Here is a 24,022-nt window from a genome sequence, read left to right on the forward strand (position 1 = left end):
TCCGCCTACCTTGGCCTCCCCAAATGCTGGGATTACAGATGTGAGCCACCTCACCCGGCCTAATTTAAAAAAATTTTTTTTAGAGACAGGGCCTCTCTGTGTTTCCCAGGCTGGTCTCAAACTCCTGGCCTCACTGCTTTCTATTTGAATTCAAATGTTAAATGTGTCAATAATGGAGATTAAATAAGTCTATATATGTGTGCTCCTGGAGTATAGGAAGTATCGTATACATGTTCATTCTTAATGTAAAAGGCAATTTAGCCTAGTGGTTAAAGACCCAGGACCATACTATCTTGGCCCAAATTCTGATTTAGCCACCAACAAGTTGTGTGACCCAGAACCCATGACTTAAATCCTCTGTGCCTCAGTTGCCTTCCCTGTAAAATGGGTATGATTTAAAAATAGAACCCTTGTTCTGTGATTGTTAAGAAGATTGAGTTATAATATGTTAAAAGTGCTCAGAACAGTACAAGGTAAGTGCTCATAGGGTTGTAACTTCTGTTAGGTGATGCCACTATACGTCAGGTAATGCAGAGAACTCAATTTTGACAATTCCTAACAATACCCAATGGAAACAATTAGTATTTGTGTGAGATCATTTATTTTGTCACCTCCTGTTGCCACTTTTCCTGTTGTACAGTAATCACCTGTAAGGCAAAAGGACTGAATGATTGTCCTCTACAAAACTAAGAGCAACTGTAGTACTTACTTAGGACCAAAAGGCAGGGTGATGGAGAAATGACTCTTCTTACTAGCTCTGTGACCTTGGAAAGATCACTTAACCTTTCTGAATTTTAGTATCATTTAGTTGCAAATCATAAATAATGATAGCACTACCTATCTCACAGAGTGGCTGTGAGAATCAAACCAAATATCTGTAAAAATGTTTTGTAAACTATACAGTAACATGAAAATATGAGATTGTTATTACTAACTACAATTTAAACAGGCTAGCACTAGTGCTGCTATCAGGAGTGTCAGAAGAAGTAAGGACAAATCATTCAGGAATTCATGGGTTTCCACAGCAACACTTTACTGTAGGGATATGTTGGCAGGAACTCCAGATCTTCCATTTTTTATGTATATATATAAATATATATATATATACACATAAATAAAAATATACATATATGTGTGTGTATGTATATATATATAGATCTGAAGTTCTTCCATTATATATATATCTGTATATGTACATATATGTGGGTGTGTATATATATGTGTGTATGTATATATATACAATTTTCTGAGAACTCACTTTTTTTTGTGAATTTACAATAGTGTTCGCCATGTTTTCCACCAGTATGTATATGTAAACAACCCATGATGTAAGTTGTTTGCCACATAGCAACCTTGAAGTTGCAGAGATAGACTCTTGGGAAAAGATTACCTGAGTATTAGGAAATTTGTGATTAATGTGTCAATTTTATTCCCTATAGTCTCTGGCATGAGATTAATCATGATTTGATTTTTTAAAATAAAATGAGATGAATTTTATTCTGGCTTGCACTACTGTTATTACACTAAGTTATATTGTTTCTCAACTCTTCCTTTTCCTTGCCAATAAAATGGAGGCTTCAACGCCTACCTTTCAGAGGTTGTTGCAAAGATCGGAAATGATCTATGCAAACCCCTTGACAAAGAGTAATACTTGGTGATTATTATCATTAGGAGGACAAGCAAATATTTAGGGCAGCAATTCTCAGCTCCAGTCCTGCAACACTGCAGGGTGTTGCAAATTATCTCAAGGAGTGTTGTAACATTTCCAAAAGGCTCTCCAACTAAGATTATTGTAAATTTCCTTTATTTCCAGAAATAATTTCTCTGAGGGTCATTAGAAGTGGGGTTGTACTGATATCACTCAGCATATTATGAGATATCTCAGCATATTATGAGAGAGGTGAAGTTTTTATTATTCAACCTTTACCCCTTCTGTGATATCCTCTTTCCTACTCCAGTCCCAGGGTTTGGATCAGCCCAGGTATGAATCTCAGCTTAGTCACTCTCTATACATTAATTATGCATTCTGAACCCAGCGTCCTCATCTCCAAAGTTGCGACAATCATGACCATTTCATAGGATTGTTTACAGAGTCAAATTATGTGCATAAAGTCCTCAGCAGACCATAACTAACTGTCCCCTGACTTAGCTCCTCATGATCTTGCCTGATCTCTGGGGAAGCAATGAGTGAGAATTCCAAGAGCTGTTTCACAAAAATCTCCATGAGACAATGAAAGCCCAAGTCAACACTGTTGTAACCTACCTGCCAGAGGATGGCATATAGGATTCTTCTACTCCTAGACATTCAGGATTAAAACAAACAAACAAACAAAAAACATTTTTAAATTAGAGGAATTACACATAAAAATTCAGATCTCTGACTTCTCTTAAAGAATCACAAGATCTGGCCAGGTGCAGTGGCTCACACCTGTAATCCCAGAACTTTGGGAGGCCAGGGTAGGTGAATCACTTGAGGCCAGGAGTTCAAGACCAGACTGGCCAATATGGTGAAACTCTGTCTCTACTAAAAATACAAAAGTTAGCCGGGCATGGTGGTGCATGCCTGTAATCCCAGCTACTTGGGAGGCTGAGGCATGAGAATCGTTTGAACTCAGGAGGTGGAGGTTGCAGTGAGCCAAGATTGTGCCACTGCACTCCAGCCTGACAGAACGAGGCACTGTCTTAAAAAAAAAAAAAAAAGAAAAAAAAAAGAATCAGAAGATCTGTCCCTGATTATAATTATCAGCCTTCTTTTGGACACAGATGTGCTCTCTGTTTGCCACAGTCCCCACCATTCCCTATTATTGTACATCTAGCCTGCTTCACTCATTGATCTGCTTGATCAATGAGTGAAGAATTTGAATTCTTCACTGTAAGAATTTGAATCTGTAAGAATTTGAATCTATAACCCCTGGCCAATAGGGTCAGGAAAGTAGTCATGATGGTGGTGATGACAGGGGTAAAGCTGGTGGGGAAAGAGGTTTGTGAGGTTTTTTTCAATGATTCAAAAAGCCTATTGGCAATGATTATATCTTTAACCTCTAAAAGACTGCACAGGTTAACTAAAGCTCCAGATTTCTTTGCTTTTAGGTGGAATTCTGTCAACTAGGTAACTGTATTGTCATAAAAGAAGATCAAAATGGCAAACAGATATAATTGATTAATGTTTTAAAAATTGGAAAAACAGATAATTCTTATTAATTTTTTTATTATTATTATTTATTTATTTATTTTGAGATGGAGATTCACTTTTGTCACCCAGGTTGGAATGCAATGGCATGTTCTCGGCTCACTGCCACCTCCGCCTCTCAGGTTAAAGCGATTCTCCTGCCTCGGCCTCCTGAGTAGCTGGGATTACAGGCGCCAACCACTACGCCCAGCTAATTTTTTTGTATTTTTAGTAGAGATGGAGTTTCAACATGTTGGCCAGGCTGGTCTCAAACTCCTGACCTCAGGTGATCCACCCACCTCAGCCTCCCAAAATGCTAGGATTACAGGTGTGAGCCACCGTGCTCGGCCTTATTATTATTTTTGAGACAGGGTCTCACTGTGTTGCTGAAGCTGGAGTGCAGTGGTGCAATATTGGCTCACTGCAACCTCTGCCTCCTGGATTTAAGCAATTCTCCTGCCTCACCCTCCCTAGTAGCTGGGATTATAGGTGTGCCACACCACACCTGGCTAATTTTTGTATTTTTAGTAGAGACTGGGTTTCACCATTTTGGCCAGGCTGGTCTTGAACTCCTGACCTCAAGTGATCCTCCCACCTCAGCCTCCCAAAGTGCTGGGATTACAGATGTGAGCCACCGCGCCTGGACAGATAATTATTATTATTTAATAAATAAAATTTGCTTCATAGATTAGCTCTTGGGAAAATGGGGCCCAAGAAAGAGAATGTGATAATAACAAGAGGTATCCTTACTGGTGGAGAGGTTGAGAAGGGAGCCACTGGCATTGTCACTTCTCTGCTGCTACTTTTAGTCCTGTGGGTCGAAACCAGAAGAATGAATGTTGAAATTTCAGGTACCTGATAGTAAGTAGAAAAGACATATGGAAAAAGGCAGTGGAGTCCTCTTTTGAGTACTAGAATTTCATGTCCTCCTCAGGCAGGCTCACTCATGATTTTAGTGTTAATAATGTACATAGTTTTTAATACAGGTTCTGTTTCTCCCATACTGCAAGGCAAAATGCAATGCAATGACCATTTACAATATTGCTGTGCTCTGTTAAAACTAGTTAATGTTCCTTGCCTGTGCTAATGTACAAGGCCACTGTATTTTATAAGGGTGAGGAAACTCTTTACTTATGACCTGTAATTCTCAAGATTATTATATGTCCTAGAATAAAGCTGATTCATAATTCTACTAGGTGGGGCAAAGGGATTACATTTTCAGTCTTTCTTGCCACCTCTTTCCAGCATTTAACTAAATTATGTAGGATCTTTTGAGAATTATAGAATTTTGAAGCTAACGTGTACTTTAAGGATAAGGATCTCCTAATCTAACCTCCTCATTTCCCAAAGGTCCAAGAGAGTTTTTCCTGCCCAAGTTAACAGAGCCAACACTAGAACTCTGGTCTCCTGATTCCAAGTCCAATTTGATATGTATGTTTTCTGTTTCCTTTTCCATTTTAAACTATCCCAACCATCATTGCCCAAGATTTGTTTTTTGCTTTACGGTCTCACGGCTTCTACTTAACGTCTAAATGTTCAGATTTTTTCATAATCCTATTTTATCCTTACAGCATTCTCCTAGGGTTTCCAGATTCTACTTTGAGAACTCTCGAGTGAGGAACGTGATCTGGAGGCTTCCCCACAAAACCCTGCTGGATCCTCCAAGAAGACAGAGAAATGTGTAACCCACAGTCTGTAGCAGTCTCTCTCTCATCCATTCCATACTGAGGTTTCCAAGGAAGCAAAGAGAGACTAACAGGAGGATTATGTCTGTTCTTTTTAGAAACAAGTCTGTTGAGATTTCATACATTCTGCTAATTTCTTCTTTTTGCTTCTATGTCAAGAAGGCTTTTTACCACCTGTCTGACAGCAGATCTCTCTTGCACTGTGGCACATTTAGCTACTGCAAAATTAGATGAAAACAGTTTTGTTTTGTTTTTCTAAGACAGAGGAGGAGCACAGAAGAGACATCAAAGATGATTCTGGCCAAGGCTGCCTCCCCTACAAGCTCCCAGTTGTGTGGGAAAGAGAAGCATAAACTCTTATGGGGGAAAAAAGAAGAAAGAATGGAGATGGGGAAAGTCAATTATAAATTATGAGAGCTGTGGTTTAAATGGGAGAGGTACGAGAAAAGTACAGGCTGACTCATAATTAGTACAGATAGTACAACACAAATTACCAATTTCATTGCTCTTTGAACATTCATTGCCACATAGAGCTCACAAATTTTGTGACCATGTCAACTACAATGAAATGAGAAAAATAGGAACATACGCTGAGTTTTTCATAATACTAAATTTATTCAATTTAAAGGAGCATCTTATATTTCAAGATTATAGTCTTCTTTCTTTCTTTAGTCCTAAAACATTTCTTTTATGAAACGACAGTGAAGGTAGATAATAATTGATTTTTTGTTTGTTTGTTTTTGAGACAGAGTCTTGCTCTGGTGCCCAGGCTGGAGTGCAGTGGTGCCATCTCAGCTCTGCAACCTCTGCCTACCAGGTTCAAGCAACTCTGCTGCCTCAGCCTCCCAAGTAGCTGGGATTACAGGTGCATGCCACTACACCTGGCTTTTTGTATTTTTAGTAGAGATGGTTTTCACTATGTTGGCCAGGCTGATCTTGAATTCCTGGCCTGAAGTAATCTGCCTGCCTCAGCCTCCCAAAGTGCTGGGATTATAGGAGCCACCACACCTGGCATAACTGGTATTTTTTATATGCTTCCTGGGCAACTTAAAAAATTGATTACTCTGTTGTTTCTTCCTTTTTTTTTTTTTTTGGCTTTGCACCAATTTGTGAGACCCAAGTATCTCCTACCTAGAAAAAAAACACACTAAACAGTAAATGATTACCAACCTATTTGGAACAAATCTCAATTAATTAACATATACTTCAAGGAGAAGACTTAACAAAATCTTACTTTTCATTCTTAATAGCTCTTTCCATAAAAATGTTCCACAAGTGTATCAAATTAGTCCTAACAACTACTGTTAAGTGATTAATGAAACAGGAGTGACAGGAGTGAATTTAATAATAGCAATAAATACAGATGGGACTACATAAATTGTGGAGGTCCTGATGCAAAACTCTCTCTGTATTCGATGGCATCTCAGCTTTCTCATCTGAAATGAATGAAGAAATTAATAATAATGATGCTCATAGCAATAAGAAAAAAATTCAAAACAAAACCCATACTCTCTGACAACATGCCTTTGTTCTTATTACCTACTACCCACTTCACATATGCTAGAAGCGCTAAACAAAGCTGCAAAGAGAAGGCAGTATGGGGATGAATGTGGTTCCTGGCCTTGTTGTAAAGCAGTATGGACCAGTGACTTCCTCCAGAGCATTTGCATTGTGTGGCAATAAAATGCAGTTGCACAAACATTGGGCAAACTCACTTAAAGAGGGAGCAGGCTTAGGACTAAAGGTGTTCTCTATTCTAGGCAACTTTTCAACCTGTCTTCCTCTAAAGTGGAGGCAGATTTTCCTCCACCTTCTATTCTCCTTTGAACCCCTTCCCCTTCCAGCACCTCCCATCTCTGGAGTTTGTCTAGAGTGATGCATATCACTGCTATTCATCTGCTTATTTAAAAAGCACTGGTCCCGGCCTAGAGTACTTACAGAGCTGTTTCACTGTGAGGGTCTTTATCCTTCATGCAGAGCTAAAAGCAAACATGGCAGTAAATTAGCCTGCTTTTTAAGGCCCATGGAGAAATATTTTGAATGCATTAAGATGGCTCGAGGACAGGTGTGTGTCCTGTGCACACCTCTGCACTGGCTCAGGCGTCATTTTTGGGGCCACACTAGTAGTTTTTATTAAACTCAAAGAAGATGTAACTCTTAGTTAAGATGCTTCCAGTGTCTTAGATACTTGAGTATTTACTTTTTTATAGAAAAAAAAATGCGGCCGAGTGCAGTGGCTCACACCTGTAATCCCAGAACTTTGGGAGGCCAAGGCAGATGGATCATTTGAGGTCAGGATTTCAAGACCAGCCTGGCCAACATGGTGAAACCCTGTCTCTACTAAAAATACAAAAAAACAGCCAGGCATGGTGCCACATGCCTGTAGTCCCAGTTACTCTGGAGGCTGAGGCAGGAGAATGGTGTGAACCTGGGAGGTGGAGCTTGCAGTGAGCTGAGATCACGCCACTGCACTCCAGCCAGGGTGACAGAGCAAGAATCCATCTCAAAAAAAAAAAAGAAAAAAATGCTTTGTGGCTGGGTGTGGTGGCTCATGCCTGTAATCCTAGTGCTTTGGGAGGCTGAGGCAGGCAGATCACTTGAGCTCAGGAGTTCGAGACCAGCCTGGGCAACATGGCAAAACCCTGTCTACAAAAAATACAGAAATTAGCCGGGCACGGTGGTGCATGCCTGTGGTCCCAGCTACTAGGGAGGCTGAGGTGGGAGGATCACTTGAGCCCAGGAGGTTGAGGCTACAGTGAGCTGTGATCAAGGCACTGCACTCCAGCCTGGGAGAGAGAGTAAAACTCTATCTCAAAAAAATAAAAAAAGAAAGAAAGGAAGACAGAAAGAAAGAAAGAAAAGAAACAACAACAACTAAAATATGCTTGGGATTGGAATAGGGGGTGGAGTGAATTTCTTCTTGAGAGACATGGCTGCCCTGTTGCTATGTGTTCCAAGGAGAATGCCCCTTGCTGAATGATGAACTCAGCCTAGGGCTTTCTGCCTTTTTTGCTCTCCTTTGGCACTGAATTAGCTGGCAGAGTCAAATGCATGGCATTAACCTAAGCATGCACGTATTCTGAATCATACCAACCAACGAGGATAACCACTTTATAATTCAAACACCAGTCCACTACAGCCAGGGCATGTGGCTATAGTCCAGAAGTGAGCAGCCAATGCCATCTTTTCCATGCAGATCTCTGAATCTAGAGCGGATGTTCCTCCCTATATTTATTTATTATACCACAGGTATCATAGCAACAATAAAGGGCAATTTAAAAGGAGGAAAATCAGCCCCCAATTGCCTACCCCTGGCAACACAGCTATTTTCAATTCAGGCTTTGCCCATGTGCACTTCTCTTCTTTGTAAATCTGTACTCATAATGTACATATAATTTTTATTCCCTTGAGCAACTGTATTTTAGATCTCATGGTATAAAGACCAGATTTGACTTTGCCAAGAAGGGTTCCTAACTGAAGTCACTTATATTTCTAGCTTTCTGCCTTTATTCAGATGATGGCTTTTTACTTAAATAGCTCAGAATACTTAGATACCTTCATTATTTTCTTTCTTCTAGCAATCAGTCCAAAGCACAATGTCAGAAAGATCACAACACATGCAGCAATAATGGGCTCTATTGGTACACCCACAGTTTTATCTGTAGGAAATGCAAACACAGGGAATAAGAATGAACATTTATATACTTCCAATACGTCCCAGCAATGGTGCCTTGAACTTTATGTGTGTCATCCCCTTAATTAAACCTTCTCAACAATCTCAAAAAGTAGGTATGATTGTCCTCATTTCACAGGTGAGGAACCAGGAGGTTTGAGGGGTTAGAGTGCTTGTTCAAAGTCATAGAATTAGGCCGGGTGCAGTGGCTCATGCCTGGAATCCCAGCACTTTGGAAGGTTGAGGCGGGCAGATCACTTGACGTCAGGAGTTCAAGACCAGCCTGGCCCACATGGTGAAACCCCATCTGTAAAAAAAAAAGAAAAAAAAAAAAATATATATATATATATAGCTGGGCATGGTGGCAAGTGCCTGTAGTCCCAGCTACTTGGGAGACTGAGGCAGGAGAATTGCTTGGTCCCAGGAGACAGAGGTTGCAGTGAGCCAGGGTCGCGCTACTGCACTCCAGTCTGGGTGACAGAGCAAGACTCTCTCTGTCTCCAAAAAAAAAAAAAAAAAAAAAAGTCACAGAACTGGTAAATGGTAGAGGCAGGTTTTGAATCAATTCCTTTGTGGAATAATAATTTATTGTAATATGAGTAACTCCCCTAAAACAAGTAGACCATTTTGTGCTTCCTTCACCCACAGTTTTTGCCACACACAGAGCAGAAGTAGATTGAAGTCAACGATTTTGCCTGGATTTTGAAAAGTCCAAAATATATTGGGAAGTATCCTGGGGTGGGTGAGGGAAGAGAGGGAGGAAGGCTTTGAGAGCAAGAAGAGAAAGGGTGGAGAGCTTTCTGGACTAAGAAGGAGAGAGAGGTCTGTGGGCCTCAAAAGCAGTGGGGAGCCTTGTACCTGTACTGCAATGGTGCCCCAAGCAGGTGACAAGACATTATAGAAGGTAGGTGGCTGCATAGTGTCTCTAGGGAAGTAGGACTCTAAGCATGAGCCTTCCCAACCTTGGCAAAGTTTTCTGCATCTCTCTAAATGCCATGCAAAGAGAGAGAGCCTACTTCTAACTTGGACTAGGAAGAGATCAGCAGCAACCATGACAGCTTGGAAGTGAAAGCCTACCCCTTTATTTTCTAAACACCAGGTCAACTGAGAGCTATTTTTTTTTTTTTGAGACGGAGTTTTGCTCCTGTTGCCCAGGCTGGAGTACGGTGGTGCAATCTCGGCTCACTGCAATCTCTGCCTCCCAGGTTCAAGTAATTCTCCTGCCTCAGCCTCCCGAGTAGCTGCAATTACAGGCACGTGCTACCATACCGAGATAATTTTTGTATTTTTAGTAGAGACGGGGTTTCACTGTGTTAGCCAGGATGGTCTCAATCTCCTGACCTTGTGATCCGCCTTCCTTGGCCTCCCTAAGTGCTTGGATTACAGGTATGAGCCACCGCACCGGGCCAAGAGCTACTTTATTTATCAGTCACTATAGGCATAGTGCCTGTGTTTGCAAGCTTTCTAAGAGCCTTTGAAAATATTTGAGACCCAGAAAAAAATGATTGGCCCCAAGATATGAAAAGAAAGTAGCAAAATTAATCAAAATTAATCAATGTTTAAGCATCTGTAAAATGCAACCTGGCATCAACTCTAACCGAACTGTTAAATAATAATGTTTAAACCTCAAGAACCAAATGAGTAACTTATTTATAACAAAATTCAAAATCTATACAAGTTATAAAAATTCTTTCAAAAATTTTATAGCAGAAAGCACATACAATGTGCTTTGCTTTAATATCTTTGATATGATATGGAATGAAACTCTCAAAAGTAAAAGTGAAAGCCAGGCAGCGTGGCATATCCGTAGTCCCAGACACTTGGGAGGCTGGGGCAGGAGGATTGCTTAAGCCCAGGAGTTCAGGGCTATAGCACCCTATGATTGCACCTATCAATAGCCACTGCTCTCTACCCTAGGCAACATAGTGAGACCCTTTTTTTCTTTTTTAAGACAGAATCTCGCTCTGCCGCCCAGGCTGGAGTGCAGTGGCTTGATCTCGGCTCACTGCAACCTCTGTCTCCTGGGTTCAAGCGATTCTCCTGTCTCAGCCTCCCAAGTAGCTGGTACTACAGGTGTACACCACCATGCCCAGATAATTTTTGTATTTTAGGTAGAGACAGTGTTTCGCCATGTTGGCCAGTCTGGCCTCGAACTCCTGACATTAAGTGATCTGCCTGCCTTGGCCTCCTAAAGTGCTGGGATTATAGGTGTGAGCCACCATGCCTGGCCAACCCCTTTTTTTTTTTTTTTAGAGATGGAGCCTGGGTATGTTGCCCAGGCTGGTCTTGAACTCCTGACCACAAGCAATTCTCCTACCTGGGCCTCCCAAAGTGTTGCAATTACAGGCATCAGCCACTGCACCTGGCAGGACCCCGTTTCTTAAAAAAGTAACAAAGTAAAAGTGCTTCAGTTCAACAAAGGTTTTAAAGTGACCTTGTCTAAGCCCCTGGATTCTGATGCCATCCAACGACGGGAAGGAGCTTCAGTCATGGCTTAAGTAACATTTTAGGCATTTAAAGGAAATTGAGCATGTGCTATTTATCGCACAATTGAGTTTATGGATTGAGGTGCAGTCAACAAATATTTACTGAGTGACTAATGTGTGTTATGCACTGTGTTCAGCACTGCAAAAAATAGGACAGGTGTAGAAGGCTCCTCTGCCTTCGTGGAGCTCATCTTCTAGTGAGGGAGACAGACATTAAACAAACAGACACTACAGATTAAGTATTAGAAAGGAAACAGGGTCATGAGTTAGCAAGTGAAGGGCAAAAACCAGGGAAGAGGGGAAGAAGTGACTTTAGGTAAATTTAATTTCAAAGCCCAATCCCTATATACCTTAAGATTATGAAATAGGGTTTATCTCCCCTGTCCCCATAACTGTATAACACACTAACCAGTTATTATTATAATTATTTTTGGAGACAGGGTCTCACTCTGTCACTCAGACTGGAGTGCAGTGGCATGATCATGGCTCACTGCAGCGTCGACCTCTAGGGCTTAAGAGATCCTCCTACTTCAGCCTCCTGAGTAGTCAAGACTACCAGTGCGTGCCACCACACCCAGTTAATTTTTTGATTTGATGTAGAGACAGGGTTCCAATATGTTGCCCAGGCTGTTTTGGAACTCCTGGGCTCAAGCAACCCTCCCGCTCGGTCTCCCAAAGTCCTGGGATTACAAGCATGAACCATCCCACCCAGCCTGTAACTACCTTTTTATCATTTCCTGCTCTGGATAATTTTGGGAAATAAATGGATTAAATTTTTGCCCTCTCTTAGCTGTTTCTAAAAATTATTCTCATGAAGGTATGGGTCATATCACCCCTATGGAGAAACTTTGCTCAGGGAGCCTTTTTCTAGTAAGCCCTGGTTCTGTACTAGCCAGCTCTGGGACACACCAAAGGCCCGTCAACCTTACTGGGGAGCCCCTCTATTTGCAAGATATCAAAACAAAGGGGAAGTAAAGGTGGGACAATAAGAAAAAGAAATCAGAATTCAGTCACAGGTTGGAATATTTTTACCAAGCCAGATAAAATGAAGCCACATGTGACAGCTCTTACTCTATTTTTTTATTTTTATTTATTTATTTTTTGAGACAGAGTTTCACTCTTGTTGCCCAGGCTGGAGCGCAGTGGTGCGATCTCGGCTCACTGCAACCTCTGCCTTCTGGTTTCAAGCAATTCTCCTGCCTCAGCCTCCCAGGTAGCTGGGATTACAGGTGGCTACCATCATGCCCGGCTAATTTTTTTTGTATTTTTAGTAGAGACGGGTTTCACCATATTGGTCAGGCTGGTCTCAAACCGCTGACCTCCTGATCCACCCGCCTCGGCCTCCCAAAATGCTGGGATTACAGGCGTGAGCCGCTGCACCTGGCTGACAGCTCTTATTCTATACACAAACCGAAGTAAACTACCTTACCCATTGGCTTGCTTTGGATTCCAAATTTCTGTTGAAAGTGACTTTGGTCGGGGCATGGTGGTTCATGCCTGTAACCCCAGCACTTTGGGAAGCTGAGGTGGCAGATTGCTTGAGCCCAGGAATTCAAGACCAGCCTGATCCACATGGCAAGACCTCCTCTCTACAAAAACAATTTTTTTGATTAGCTGGTTCTGATGGCACGCACCTGTCCCAGCTATTCAGGAGGCTGAAGTGGAAAGATCGCTTGAGCCTGGGGGGATGAGGCTGCAGTGAACTATGATTACGCTACTGCACTCCAGCCTGGGTGGCAGAGCGAGACCCTGTCTCCAAAAAAATAAAAGAAAAAGAAAGAAAAAAGAGACTTTGGCAAGGGTAATTACATAACTGCCCCTCTCCCCTTGTCCTGTTTTATGGTCTCATTTGTAACCAGACCTGATATTTCCCTCCTATATTCATCATGGTTAAATAATCCCAACACATGGGCTAAATCTTGTGCTCAAGAAAAGATCTGTGATGTCGTTTGTAGCTTTGCATGGCCTCATTTAGGTACTTCCTCACTGAGCCGTGAAGCCAGGTGAGGGCTCATGAAAATCTTGGCATTTAGCCCAAGCCCCAGCAGCAGAGCATTTATGCCACCAGCCGTGGGAAGTAGCTAAGCAAGAAGAAATAAGAAAAACAAGTTGGTTTGGAAGAGCCCCACCCAAAACAAGTTTCTGCCCACCTGAAAGCCAATTTGCTAAGCTAGCATCCTGATTGCCACATAAGCTGTACTTTTTTTTAATGTGACACAGAGCAATTATGATTTCTTCTTAACCAGGAGGGATATAATTCCCTGGCCTGCAAGTGTGGTGTTCATAGTCAGGATGGCAGGGCATGAGGCCCACCCTTCCATGCTTTTGTGGTCTTGGGGGAGGTAAATAACCACAAAGCTTTTTCACTGCTTCTATCTCATGGGTATTCAGGATATTTGTGGGTTTGGTTTTTAAAACAAGTAGCCCCTGAGCAATTGTTAGTGCTCCGCAGGACGAATTACTGATCATTCCAGGAATCACAGTGATGGGCATTCAACCACCAGTAAGTCTTCTTCCCCACTAGCCACTCTTTTCATATCCCATAACTCTTCCCCTCAAGGGGAAGCAAATAAGATGTCCTATGGTTACATCACCACAACACTTCTGGCAGGGGTTCAGCTGGCTTCCTGGTGACTGACAAGACTGGCAATAAGTGAGTACAGGGAGGCAAATGACAAAGTGAGTAATGTTCTAACAAGATATGGGAGTCTCAGCTTGTTGGGCTGCTCCTGGTGTGCTAGCATGAGAGCAGACCATGTGTGAATGAGCATTTTTGGCATCTGCTACCCCAGGTATTTTGCCTTTCTCTTTTTGTATGAGCAAGAAATATGAGGAGGGAAAACCCCACAGAGCATCATTTGTTCTGTCATTGTAGAGGTGATAACCCTGGGTAGATGAAGCATGAATCCAAGAGAAAGGGCTTTTTTGTCCCCTTATTTTTTCCTACTCTCTCTGCTGATTACCCTACAGGTTAGAATTTGAGTTAGGAGTGATTGTAGGGATCCATTTTCTTATCTAGTCCTAATTTCTCTTCTCTGTGTGTTTTTTACTTCTGTTAGTTATGAAGCTGTGAACTCAAAAGTCCAGTTGCTACACACATTGTTGCCCAGGAGAATTCATGGAAATACTCTTCCCTAAAAGCCAAGCAGGATTGTTTCCTATATTTGGTTCTAAGAAAGGATTCTTGCTCAAAAAACAGTGTCCTGTATGGAATGGGCATGATTTCCCTGAAAGGATGGACTAGGATTCTTAGTGGAAAAATCCTTGGATGGGGATGATTCTCCAAAGAAAATCCTGGCCCTAATCATAACCGTTATTATCATTTATTGTCACCAGAAATATTCACTGAGCATCTGGTGTGAGTTTTGCACTGTGCTGGGTATTACTTAAAAAGAGCATTACCTTTAACAATCAGGTGAAAGTCCAAGCTCTCCGTTTTCAGAGATGACTTTGCAATACAACTGTAGGTTCCGTTGTCAGGCTTCTCGACTTTGGTGATTGACAGCTGAAAAGACTCACTTGTCTGTTGGATTTGGTGACGGCTTTTCTCTAAATCGAGGAGACTACTGTTTTTGTACCACATCATTTGAGCCTGGGGGTTGGCTTTCACATTGCAAACCAACTTCACATTACTGCCTTCCTCAACTGTTTGGAAGTCGTTTCCACTTAGGAGAGGAGGAACTGCAAGACTCAAGCATTTAGATTTAATTAGCAGATAAGCAATAGTTCACTGTCAGAGTTCAAAGTCTTCCTTCAATCTATCTCATGTGGTCATTTATTCATTTGACAAAAATTTATTAAATACGTACGGTGTGACAAGCACTGGGGTAACAAGGGCAAATAACACTTCCAGTTCCAAATCTCATAGAACTTTTAATGTGATGAAGAAGACAAACCATGAAACAATATATGATTATGAGCATGATATATATAGTAATGATCTATGACAAGCAGACAATTTGTAACACTACCCAAGAGTATAAGCCTTGAGTCTTTCTTCTCTGAGAATTAATAAACCAACCTGTGCTAGTGTTGCACAAAACAGTACAAAATTAAGAAGACATACATTGCAATTAGATCTAATTCCATCTACACCGTTTACTGTGACTTTGAGACAGTTAACTAACTGCTAAGGCCTCTGTTTCTCATGTAAAAAAAAAATGGGATAATCATACATCTCCTGAGATGCTGTAAAGATTAAATAAAATAATCCCTGTAAAGAATTTGCCACAGTGCTAGCCGCTATTATTATTACGGTGGTGGTGGTTTTGAGGGTTACTCTCACCGTCTGTTTTTGCATTTTATCGAACCATTGCCTTGGTAACATATTCACCAATGCATCTTTGCGTTTTCTCAGTGGTGCTCTAGAAATAATGTCCTCCTCCCAGAAGGTGTTCTAAGCATGAGAACTCTGGCATCTGTGGAAGGCAAGTGAGTCCCTCTCATCCCTGTGTGTGAGCAACTCCTTTTTTCCTCTACAATAAGGGCAGTTGTAGACCCATAGACAGTCAACACATCTATCACTGTGCATATTCTGGCAGAAGTGCAGAATAGTAATGAAATGGTTGGAGAGTGGGAACTAGGAAAAAGATAGAGACGGAGAAGGAGGAAAAAGGAGCTTGTATAATCTGCACACTGAATAATTAGACCCTGAGTAGGCTGTGTTATTAATAACTCTCTCAGAAGAATGACATTTTGTTGCTCTTTGGAATGAGCTCGAATTCTGTATCATATCCAACAAGGATGTTATATGGTATTCAGATAGGAAGGAAGCTGCTGGAATAGAGAACATAATTGCCAAATGGAACAATTCCATTTGTGGACAGATTCTGTTAGTGATTTCTTTCTATTTAACTATTTGAAATTAATTTAAGCATATCAGTATATGTGAATATCCCCTCTGTAAAAATTAGTACATTTTAGATAAAGCTAAGATCCAAGCTGGTCACTTCCTGATCCCCAGAGATACCCACTGTTATGAGTTTGGTGTAAATCCTTCCCTATCTTTCTTTTTTCTTAAATAGTTTTCTATACATATAGTGTACCCATAGGAAATATATCATATTATTTTAGGGACATGGGAAGGTTTTACATAAAATACTTCCTTTCTCTCAGTAACTTGCATGTTTTTGAGATATGTTTATATTGAACCACAGAGATCTAGCTTATTGCTTTTAGAATGCTATAGTATAATGTATGCCTTTAATCATTTGTGTTTTGATGGGCTTTAGGTTGTTTTCATTTTAAAATGTTAAACAATGCTACAATAAACATCCTTGTACATATCTCTTTATGATCCTGTACATGTATTTCTCCAACGTTAACATCTAGAAGGAGAAATGGTGTGTCGTAAGATATGCACACTTTAAATTTTGATAAGTATTTTGAAAGAGGTGTTCTCAATTTAAACTTTCAGCAACGAGGTATGAGAGGACCTGTTTCTCCACATTCTCCCCCAAACAGTGTATTATCAAGCTTCCATTTAGTTCTTGATTCTGCTATTTATAACAATAATGGTCCTGCCTTTGAAGGGTACATAATATCCTTGTCACATTTTATGAGCTCATTTTGATTTATTGGTTGATGACTTTGTGTCAGTACTGTCATTATGGATTACTGAGCAATTAACTATACACACACACACACACACACACACACACACACACTTAGCAACAATGATATTTAGGAGATTGTTATAAACAGAATTTAAACAGTGGATTGAGGCTAGAAAACTGAAAACAATTTCTTTAAGTCATCAAATCACATTGTTGGCATTTCTGCCATGTCTCCCTTAAGAGGGTTCCATCAGCCTGGGCAACATAGCAAAACCCCGTCTCTACAAAAAATACAAAAATCAGCTCGGCCTGGTGGTGCACGCCTGTAGTCCCAGCTACTTGGAAGGCTGAGGCAGGCAGATCACTTGAGCCTGGGAGGCAGAGGTTATAGTGAGCTGAGATTGTGCCACTGCACTCCAGTGTAGGTGACAGAGTGAGACCCTGTCTCAAAAAAAAAAAAAGTTTCGTGGAATAAGCACTTAAGCACTAGGTTAGAAGCTTGGGAATTAGTGTTTTATTCTCAGCTGCACCTATGATTTGAGCCCCTAGTCCGGGCCTTAGTTTCCTTAGCTGGCTTTTTATTTTATTTTATTTTATTTTATTTTTTTTGAGACAGGGTCTCACTCTGTTGCCCAGGTTGAAATGCAGTGGCGCAATCACAGCTCGCTGAAGCCTCAAACTTCTGGGCTCAGAAGATCCTGTAGCCTCAGCCTCCCGAGCAGCTGGGGCTACAGATGTGTGCCACCATGCCCAGCTAATTAAAAACACACCTTATTTTTTTTTTTGGTAGAAATAGGGTCTCACTATGTTATGTTTGTAGAGATAGGGTCTTTCTACCAAATCATACTGCATCATTATACCTCACCCATTGCCATACCATCCACACCATTCTCATGCAGAACCAGCTTTTCACCCAACAACCCATGTGATCATCTACATTGTATCACTTGACAGTCCCCTAAGCCTATACAGTTCTACCAATGGGTTACCAATACCTGGAACCCAATCATTGAAAAGCTTCACCTTTTTTGATTTTAAGGTGATGTTTAAAGATTCCCTAATGAAAATCTTTTTTTTTTTTTTTTGAGATGGGTCTCACACTGTTGCCCAGGCTGGAGTGCAGTGGTGGCATCTCAGCTCATTGCAACCTCTGCTTCTTGAGTTCAAGCAATTCTCCTGCCTCAGCCTCCTGAGTAGCTGAGATTACAGGTGCCTACCACCGCACCTGGCCAATTTTTGTATTTTTAGTAGAGGCCAGGTTTCACCATTGTTGGTCAGGCTGGTCTCGAACTCCTGATCTTAAGTGATCCATTTGCCTCTGCCTCCCAAAGTGTTGGGATTACACACATGAGCCACTGTGCCAGGCCATGAAAATCTGTCTAAGCAGAACACAAAAGCTAGGAACTACAAAGGAAAAGACTTGAAGCTTTAAATATATAAACATTTAAAATTTCAATATGGCAAAAAAGAACAATAAAAATTTTCAAAAACAAATAGGAGAAATACTTACAATTCAAAATGACAAAGGACTAATTTCCTTAATCTACAAAGCCCTTGTACAGATTAATGAGAAAAAAGCATAAAACCCAACGGAAAAAAATGAGTTAAGGATACAAGCAGGCATTTCATGGAAACAAACAAAAAAAAGACCATTATGTTTACACAAAGGTGAACACCCTCATTCTTAATTTAAAAAATGAAAACAGGCTGGGTGCAGTGGCTCACACCTGTAATCCCAGCAGTTTGAGAGGCTGAGGTAGGCGGTTCACTCGAGGTTAGGAGCTTGAGACCAGCCTGGCCAACATGGTGAACCCCCCGTCTCTACTAAAAATACAAAAATTAAAAATTAGCTGGGCATGGTAGTGGGCACCTGCAGTCCCAGCTACCCAGGAGGCTGAGGCAGGAGAATCGCTTGAACCCGGGAGGTGGAGGTTGCAGTGAGCCGAGATTGCGCCACTGAACTGCACTCCAGCCTGGGCAACAGAGCGAGACTCTGTCTCAAAAAAAAAAAAAAGAAAGAAAGAAAAAAGAAAAAGAAAAAAGAAAAGAAAAGAGAAAAGAAAAAAAAGAAAAGGAAAAGAAAATTTCAAAGGAGGCTGGCAAATTCTCAGAGTTTGGCGATACTCAGTGCTCATGAGGGTGAGGGGAAATAGGTACTCTCATACTTTGTGGTAGGAGCATAAATTGGGCAATTTGGCAATACCAAGACCTAGATTTCAACTACCACTTCATGTGTTACAGACATTACAGACCCACTAGCTGTTTCTTTTCCCCTCACTCACAAGTAACATTCAGCACCACCGAAACGGACACGGACTGATCCCTCCCCAGCCTGCAGGTAAAGCTGATTCCGTTGTCATTTTCACTGATGGAAGAGACACAGACAGAGCTGGAATTGATTTTGTTTCCAGATTTCAAATCCACTCTCCCCTCCTCTCGGTACCAGAGCAGTTCTTCCTCTCTGGTGTGGTTTTGAACAGCACATATCAGAGATGCTTGGGAGCCAGGTGTAGTATCCAGGATATAGTTCTCAGTTTTACCATTCACAGTTAAAACAGAACCTGGGAGTATAGGGAGAAACTATTTAGATATACAGAGTAAACAACCTTAATGCTCATGAACAGGGGATTGGTTAAATAAGTTATGTTACATCAGTAGAACAAAATAAACTCTCAACGATTAAAAATAGTCATATTGATCTATATGATTTTATAATGAAAAATATTCATAATGTATTGTTAACTGAAAAAGAAAAAGATTAAAATGTGGTCATCAAATTTTTGTGCACATTGGAATCACCAGGGGATCTTTTAAAAAGTACTGATGTAGCTGGGTGCTGTGCCTATAATCCCAGGGCTTTGGGAGGTAGAGGCGGGAGGATCGCTTGAGCTCAGGAGTTCAAGATCAGCCTGGGTAACATAGTGAGACTCCGTCTCTACAAAAAATAAAAAAATAAAAAAAAAAACATTAGCCAGGCATGGTGGTGTGCACCCATACTTTTAGCTACTTGGGAGGATAAGGTGGGAGACTCGCTTGAGCCCAGGAGGTGGAGGTTGCAGTGAGCCAAGATCGCACCATTGAACTCCAGTCTGGGTGATAGAGCAAGACCTTGCCCCCAAAAAAAAGTACTGATGCCTGATTCTCATCCCCAGACATCTGATTAGTTGACATGAGTGCAATCTGGGCATTGTGTTGTTTAAAGGCACCCCACCCCCCGACCCCCGGTGATTTGAGAAGCATCAGGTTAGAAATCAATACATACAGAATGATCATACACATATGTGTGTATGTGTGTATACATGGAAGTATTTTTTCATGGAAAAAAGACAGGAAAAAACCCATATATATTGAATACACACACACGCATGCATATATGTATATACATATACACATACCATATTTAATTTGTTTACTTGAAGGGATTGAAAGTGGGAAAGCAAGGGAATGAAATGGAAAAATATTTAAGGTATAAACTTTAGGCAAAAAGGCAGAATATAAATTAAAGCTCTAATAATTACTACAAATGTATCAAAATTGCACATGCAGATGAGTAAGAACTGATTTGAAAACATTTTCTGCTTAAATGATAGGATTATGGACAAATTGGGTCTTGCATCTATAATGTTTTAATATTGTTTTGGCAGTGAAGAAAAATAAAAAGATGTTTAAGTAGTTGAGGTTTGTGTGGTAGACCAGTCTTTGTGGGTTGGGTGATCAGGATACATACCAGGTTTTTTTTGTTTTGTTTTGTTTTTCAGCTCTGACTTTTAGAAACCTATTCATTGCATAGTAATACACCTGAATTTCGGTTTTTATTTTTCTGATTCAGAAGCAAGTAACAAAAGCTAAAAAAGAACTTTATCTGTCATAAACCTGTACCCCAGATAACATTTGTTAATATGTTCTGTAAACACATTAACCTTCCTTTTAAAACACTTAAGCTGGCCGGGCATGGTGGCTCATGCCTGTAATCCCACACTTTGGGAGGCTGAGGCGGACGGATCACCTGAGGTCAAAAGTTTGAGACCAGCCTGGCCAACATAGTGAAACCCTGTCTCTACTAAAAATACAAAAAAATTAGCCAGGCATGGTGGCGGGCTCCTGTAATCCCAGCTACTCGGGAGGCTGAGGCAGGAGAATCACTTGAACCTGGGAGATGAAGGTTGCAGTGAGCCAAGATCACACCACTGCACTCCAGCCTGGGCAACAAAGTGAGACTTCTTCTCAAAAAAGCAAAAAACTTAAGCTACTTGTAAAGATAATGGTATTGTTGTCTAGTATTTTATTAAAATATGGAATATTGAGTGGTTGTCATCTCTGGATGAAAGTATTTGGGGGGATTTGTACTTTTCTTTTTTTTTTTATAGATTGCCTGATTTATTTTACAATGACTATGCATTACTTTTAAAATCAGAAAAGAGTGGTAGGAGAGCAAATGCTGGAAAGATTTTCATGTGAAATGGTATGTTCAGATAAACAGATGATTATTTGGGGTAACATTAGTAATAAAATGCATTAAAATGTAGGAGGATTCTGGTGGTGGCTCTGGAGAGAATAGAATACTTCACCTTGTCTTGTAATAATAAAACCCTAAAAACAATATTTTTCCATTTGATTTTTTTTTTTTTTTTTTTGAGACGGAGTCTCGCCCTGTCGCCCAGGCTGGAGTACAGTGACGTAATCTCGGCTCACTCACTGCAAGCTCCACCTCCTGGGTTCACGCCATTCTCCTGCCTCAGCCACCCGAGTAGCTGGAACTACAGGCGCCTGCCAGCACACCAGGCTAATTTTTTGTATTTTTAGTAGAGATGGGGTTTCACCGTGTTAGCCAGGATGGTCTCGATCTCCTGACCTCATGATTCACCTGCCTCGGCCTCCCAAAGTGTTGGGATTACAGGCGTGAGCCACCCGCCTGGCCTCCATTTGATTTTTTATTGTTAGTTGACTCCTGTACTGTGAGCCATGCTAACTGTGTAGTCATTCCAATTTGGAATTTAAGGATATATCCAATGCCCATTGATCACTTTTCTTAATCGGAAATTTTTCTTTATCTAAAAAGAGGCCAAAAAGAACTTTAACTTACTTGTCATCTCACGTGGCAGAAATAAAATTACTAAGAGAAGAAATCTTCCCATTTGCATTATGACACTGCTCTTCCATGCCATCTTTAATGAGTTAAACTCAGATCTACTAAGGGAAAAATAGTGCAGTTGGTTTTGTACTTTGGTCTGCAATGAGTTCGTGAACCTTCCTTCTGTCTATTATGCATTTAAAGTGAAGTCCCAGATGAATCATCCCAGCTATAACGGTACTACTTCTAGCTTTTAATTAAACAACCCTGTCTGACTAAGTTCAAAGTACATTTAGTAGTAAGAAATTTTTTTTAAAAGCAACATAAAACCACAGGAAATAGGCTATGACAGATAGAGCAGCGTCAGGGTGCCCTGGGGAAGATGAAACCAGTCTTCCCTAGAGAAACTGATAGAATTTCATTTTAGCAGAATGAAACTTGTCTCATTCTCAGACAGTCCCTACTGAACAAAGTAATTCTTGTTCTGAAAGTTTTTCTTGGGTCATTTTTGTAAAGATGTTCTCTGATAATAGAGAGTTTTTGAGACTACTCCAAATCCCATAGATTCAAATGGTGTGTACGTAGAAAAGCCTCAATTGAAACATGGCCTCTAGTTTAAACCATGTTAATCTTGTCTTTCTCCCACTATTCTCTCTCTCTCTTCCCCTTGACCCAATGGACTAAAAATAATAAATAATAAAGGTGTCCTTTCTCCCTTCTTGCTTTTGCTTCAACTCTCCCTCTCCCTAAGATATTCTCCATTTCCATCTGGGAAAAAAACATATATTCATTACTTCCTTTCAAGAGTACTACTATAAATATAGCGAACCACATACGGAAAACTTTCTGCGCAACAGGGACTGTGCTAAACACTTTACATACATCATTTCAGTCACAATTAAGCCTCCTAACAACCCTCCTGAGGTCGTTTCTATAGATTTAAAGAGACTATGTAATTTGCCTGAGATCCCACAGACAGTAAATGTCAAGGTCGGGATTTGAACCCAGACTCCCAAGACCATGCTCTTAACCACCCTACTCTCAACCACCCTACTACCCAATCTACTGCCTAGATTAATATTCTTTTCCTTTAAGAAGCTGCTGTTAGGCTGGGTGCAGTGGCTCATGCCTGTAATCCCAGCACTTTAGGAGCTGAGGCAGGTGGATTACCTGAGGTCAGGAGTTTGAGACTAGCCTGACCAACATAGTGAAACCCCATCTCTACTAAAAATGCAAAAAAAAAAAAAAAAAATTAGCCAGGCATGGTGGCGAGCGCCTGTAATCCCAGCTACTCGGGAGGCTGAGGCAGGAGAATTGCTTGAACCTGGGAGGTGGAGGTTGCAGTGAGCCAAGATTATGCCACTGCACTCCAGCCTGGGCGACAGAGTGAGGCTCGGTCTCAAAAAATAAAAATAAAAAATAAAAAAATAAAAAAAAGCTGCTGTTAATCTTTTCCAGTCCCTGGCCACTGGGAGTTCTCTCCCCTTAACACCAGTATTAATTTACAAGAGCTGAAATATACCTATACCTACTCTACTCCTCCCCTGTCCCAGGCGTGCCCTGACAGGAGTAAGTTTCATTCATGCCAGGCTCACCCTTTCTGGCAGACAAGCCTGCATCAATCTTTTCGTAAGATGCAATTACTACTAATATTGATTCTTTTGTAATTTTAAATATTTGCCAAAAAGATTTCTATCACAGTGTTGTAACAGTGATTACTGCAGAATGTGGTCAATAGTAGAGTTTTCTCAAGCGCTCTGCACTACAAGTACTCAATAAAAACTGAGAGTGCAGGCTTCTTGCCAGACCTCACCCAGCCCTATTAAGGGGACAAATCTATGTCTTCTCTTTCCCTCCACTCCACCGAGACAGCAACTTTTCAAAATGTATTCCCCTCACTTGGCTTGTTTTTAATCTGTATGACTCTCTACTTTCTATATAAGACAGTCTTACCACTTACCTCTTGAGCTCTGAGAAGCTGACTTCCTTGGCCAACTGTTCCTCTGCCTGAAAACCCTAAATGCTTTCCCTGTTACAATCCTTTATAATACTTGAATTTGAACGCTTTATGACAGCAGGGTCAAATAAATAAGATAACTTGGGTTCAAAGTCTGTTTTTCTTTATGGAGTCTTAGAGAAGATAGTAATTGGGAAAGACATCTTCTTAAGATCTAAGTTTCTATGTCTACCTCGGTTACTAGGTGGGGCCGGATATTACTAACAGGGATGTGTTGTTCCAAGAAAGCTTGAACTTGTGCAAAAATCTGTAGCGCATCTCACTGAATATTGTCATATTTAAGTAAGATGGCTGCGTTTTGATCATCTAGCCTGGGGATTGTGAAGGGACGAGTCCAAAGAGAAGTTTGACTTTAACAGAGGTCAA

General features: G+C 40.9%; 1 protein-coding gene and 1 long non-coding RNA gene across 4 annotated transcripts; both read right to left on the reverse strand.

Annotated features, from left to right (window-relative positions):
* Positions 1–588: 588 nt before the first annotated feature.
* On the reverse strand, positions 589–3,970 carry LOC105371721 (uncharacterized). Its single transcript, XR_934656.2, has 3 exons — positions 3,920–3,970; positions 2,264–2,297; positions 589–647 (listed from the first exon to the last, which is right to left on the reverse strand). It is a non-coding gene; the product is annotated as an uncharacterized LOC105371721 (long non-coding RNA).
* A 1,962-nt stretch (positions 3,971–5,932) lies between these two features.
* On the reverse strand, positions 5,933–23,657 carry TMIGD1 (transmembrane and immunoglobulin domain containing 1). 3 transcript variants are annotated; one of them, XM_011524787.2, is made up of 7 exons: positions 23,600–23,657; positions 21,652–21,755; positions 18,851–19,129; positions 14,416–14,694; positions 8,410–8,513; positions 6,793–6,833; positions 5,933–6,290 (listed from the first exon to the last, which is right to left on the reverse strand). In XM_011524787.2, the coding sequence occupies exons 2-7, from the start codon at positions 21,731–21,733 to the stop codon at positions 6,287–6,289; spliced, it is 789 nt and encodes a 262-aa protein (XP_011523089.1). In that variant the 5' UTR covers positions 21,734–21,755; positions 23,600–23,657; the 3' UTR covers positions 5,933–6,286. The 3 variants fall into 3 exon arrangements, with proteins under 3 accessions (XP_011523089.1, NP_996663.1, NP_001306871.1); NM_206832.3 differs by having other exon boundaries at positions 21,652–21,758; NM_001319942.2 differs by lacking the exon at positions 8,410–8,513 and having other exon boundaries at positions 21,652–21,758.
* Between the last annotated feature and the right edge of the window lie 365 nt (positions 23,658–24,022).

Source organism: Homo sapiens, chromosome 17 (genome assembly GCF_000001405.40).
Source record: "Homo sapiens chromosome 17, GRCh38.p14 Primary Assembly".
Taxonomy (NCBI): Eukaryota; Metazoa; Chordata; class Mammalia; order Primates; family Hominidae; genus Homo; species Homo sapiens.